Consider the following 4,542-nt stretch of genomic DNA (forward strand, 5'->3'; position numbering starts at 1 on the left):
AAAACACAGTGATTGTGAAGTGGTCATATTTGTTTTCATTATTAATTTTTTCCAAATTGAATAAATAAAAATGGAACATTGTGCCAGCACATTTTTTCTGTGACTGAAGAAAACATATATTAGCATTTAAGACACTCGTGTATTGTATGCATGAAGATTGTATCATGATTCACAAAATAACTATTAAGTGAAAAAATATTTTTCTGACTATCACTGAATATAGACAAAAGAATAAAACAAAAACATAAGCACATTTACTCCTTATATGAACTACTGATATGCCAAGGGTTAATTTATATTCTCTAAATTGGTGTTTTTGTCCGAGTGCAAATTAAATAATCTTCTAGCATACATATATAATAATAGTTGCTTTTCCATATTAGATGCATTAATATTACATTAAGCCTAACTGTCATTTGATGGAGAAATTTTGCCAACAGCTAGTCTGCTTTCTCTGTGAGAATAACATTTTCATTAATATTGTATCTGATTTTACTAACTCCTCAGAAGTAGTTGGATTCAGACGTTGTTTTTGCTACAAGTGGGAAAACTTTGAATGATGTTTCTGTTCCAGGGCATTCTCTTGCCTTTAGCAACAAAATTAATCATTTTTGTATGGGTGAGCATTATTTTGTTTTTCTTCTGGAAAATACACTATTTGTTTCCTCGAGTATTCTCTTTGCATTATATTAAAAAGAATCTCAACTTTGATGCTTCATGATGCTATTTGAAGATTCATAAAAGACAACCTACTGGGTAATAAGATAGTGTAAGCTCAATAAATTTCATATTTCAGATAGTCATCTTCATACTTTCAATACTCACTTTTTTTGTTTATTTTAGTTATTTGTTCAAAGCCATCACAGTGACAGATTCACTTCCCTCAGCACTCAAGATAAAATGTTCTATAGTAAAGCTTCGTTTACTCCTTAATTTAATAACACCATCTTGAATTATGTATCTATTTTATCATTATTTCATCCTTTCATTAATGGATTATAAAATGTTGGCTTAATTGTGTTATAACTCAGAAATAGAAATAAAAACCAAACATTTAACAAACTTAAAGCTAGAAAAAATAGAAAAAAGTGATCTAAAGTAAAAAACAATTGCTAACTAAATATTAGTGGAACCAAACTAATGATATTTATTTTTCATGCACAAATACATTTACATTCGTGGTTAAAAAACTAATTGTGGAATTTCAGTAAAAGTAATAATTTAACATACTTTTTTCAATTTATGAAATGTTTATTAATGAAATTGCTTTATTGCTTTTGTCTACCAAATAATGTGAGAGCCATAATTAGACAAGAAAATTACAGTGATTCTCAGACTAGATTTTTCAATTATTATAGTCATGTTGTCCTAGTCGTGAATATTTTTATCTTAATCCATTAAAGCACATGAAATCAAATTAACTAAAGATATTTATTAAGCCACATTTACACTAGGCATTGCAACTGGATCTTGTGGTGCAAAGATAAATAAGTGTCTTCTAGGTAAACATGGTGAGCACTTAGATTTACCCCCATGACCTTTTAAAACCACATCAAATTGATTGAAAAGGGATAAAAAGAATATATACTTATAATAAAAAAACAGCATGGGATGGAAGATAACACTAATTACAGTTTGGATACTAGAAGACAGATTGGCAAGAAGAAATGAAATAGGGGTTTCTGCAGGATTACATAAAATCCAACAGTTCAGGAAGTAAAGAAATAATCTGATTGATACCATAGCAGTACAAGAAAGATTGGGAGGTGAAGATAAAGGATTGGGAGGTGGAGATAAAGTATTGGAAATCTGGCGTTTTAAGTGACACTAAAAAAGAAACTTGCTTTAAAACCTGTACAAAAAGTAATTAGATCATATCCTGCTTCTTGCTGCACAGATATCTTCCCCTAATCTCTCCAACGAAAGATCAGAGATTTAATCTCTAAAGGAATTGAGACTTTGAAGTTGGAAACACCAAAAATGACTGAAGGGAGAAGCACTGCATTAAATACTGAAACACCCACTCAGCTTTGTTCTGCCACTAAGCTAGAATGTTGGCAAGCAGGTTTATACCCCAGCTCTGGAAATTAGAAAACTCCTGTCTCAGAAAGCTAACTATCCCATGTGGAAAAAACAATCAACCATAAAAGCAATAAAGATTTTTCACAATAAGGCAGTTCTGATGGATCCACTATCATAAATCATCCATGGTCCAGGCATACCAATTACTGAAACACGAAAACTTTAGTAACCTTTGTAACGCCTTATTAAACGTATAAAACATTCAATGAAGAACAAATATTTTAATTTTAAAAAATGAAAAAGAAAAATTATATCTGAGGGAAGTAAAAAAAAACTCAGGTTGTAGAAGAAAACTATGTAGTGAGAAAAGCAGCATTTAGTATACTTGATCAAACAAAGCTTAGGATAGAAACTCCAAAGATCGAACTATTAAACTATTTTCATGTAACTTAATGCTAATTCAGATTAAAGCTCAAGTGTACTTACCAAAGTACAAAAATGCCCAGGTGTCAATGACATAGATTCCACAATGTCGAACATCCAATCAAATATTACCAGTCATGTAATAAAGCAGGTAAATAAACCTAATAATGTGGGAAAAAATCAATATAAAGATACCAAAATATGACCCAGATGATAAAATTAGTAAAGAAGAACATTAAAAATGTTGTTATAACTGTAATGTGATTATATTAGTAAAACTTTATTATAATTATATTTCAATTATTTTATAGAAGTAAAAATTAGCATAATAATTAGAGAGATGGAAGTTATAAAAAAAAGACCCAAGTTAAGATACTAGAGAAAAAATATACTATACCTGTTATGAAAACACACTGGAGGAGACTGCTATCACAGTAGATATTTCAGAAGAATGAATAGTGAACTTGATATAGCAACCAAACTGTTCAAAACAAGACAAAAGAAGAAAAAAATGGAGATAAACAGATTATCAATAGTTGTGGGGCAACATCAATCAGCCTAATATTCATGTAACTGGAGTCCCTGAAGGAAAGGAGATGGACTGAAAAAAATATATATTTAAAGAAATAATGGGTGAGGATTTTTCAATTTTAATTCTGACTATATCCAAGAAAATCAACAATTATCACTAAAACATCATGGTACTAGTAAAAAAATAGATCAATCGAATAGAATAGCAAACCCAGAAATAAAGCCCCATAGCTACTACTACCAACTGATCTTCAACAAATTTGACAAAAACAAACATTGGAGAAACGACATCCTATTCCCTAAATGGTGCTGGATAAATTGGCTAGCCATATGCAGAAGAATGAAACTAGACCCCTATCTCTCACCATACACAAAAATTAACTCAAGATGAATTAAAGATCTAAATGTAAGACCTGAAATTATAAAAATCCTAGAAGAAAATCTAGAAAAAAATGCTTCTGGATATTGGCCAAAGCAGAGAATTTATAATGAAGACCCCAAAAGCAAATGTAACAAAAACAAAAATAAACAAATGAGAATTAAACTAAAAAACTTCCGTACAGCAAAAAGATATAATCAACAGAATAAATAAACAGACAACCTCCAGAATGAGAGAAAAAATTTGAATATTATGACTCTGATAAAGAATGAATATCCTCCCAGCACTTTGGGAGGCCGAGGCGGGTGGATCACGAGGTCAGGAGATCAAGACCACGGTGAAACCCCGTCTCTCCTAAAAATACAAACAATTAGCCTGGCACGGTGGCCGGCGCCTGTAGTCCCAGCGACTCTGGAAGCTGAGGCAGGAGAATGGCGTGAACCCCGGAGGCGGAGCTTGCAGTGAGCCGAGATCGCGCCACTGCACTCCAGCCCGGGCAACAGAGCGAGACTCTGTCTCTAAAAAAAAAAAAAAAAAAAAAAGAACTAATATCCAGGATGTACAAGGAACTCAAACAACAATTTAAAAAAAATCACATTGAAAACTGAGCAAAGGTCATAGACAGACATTTCTCAAAAGAAGAAATACAAGCCACCAATAAACACATAAACAAATGCTTAGCATCACTAATCATCAGAGAAATGCAAATAAAACCACATTGAAATATAATCTTACCCAAGTCAGAATGGCTGTTATTAGATAGTCAAAGAACAACAGCTGTTGTTGTCAATGCTGAGAAAAGGGAACACTTATACACTGTTGGTGGGAATGTAAATTAGTTCAACCTCGATGGAAAATAGTATAGACACATCTCAAATAACTAAAAATAGAACTACAATTAGACCTGGCAATCCCGCTACTGGGCATCTACCCAAAAGAAAGGAATTATTATATAAAAAGCACCTGCAGTTATATGTTTATTGCAGGACTATTCACAGTAGCACAGTCATGTGTTACTAAATGAACCAACCTAAATGTCCACCAGTAGTTGAATAAAGAAAAGATGGTATATACACACTACGGGATACTGTGCAGACATAAAATATGGATGAAATCGTGTCTTTTGCAGCAACATGTATGGATCTGGATCTTAGGCCATTGTCCTAAGTGAGGCAGCTCAGAAGCAG

This window comes from Homo sapiens, chromosome 8 (assembly GCF_000001405.40).
Source record: "Homo sapiens chromosome 8, GRCh38.p14 Primary Assembly".
Lineage (NCBI taxonomy): Eukaryota > Metazoa > Chordata > Mammalia > Primates > Hominidae > Homo > Homo sapiens.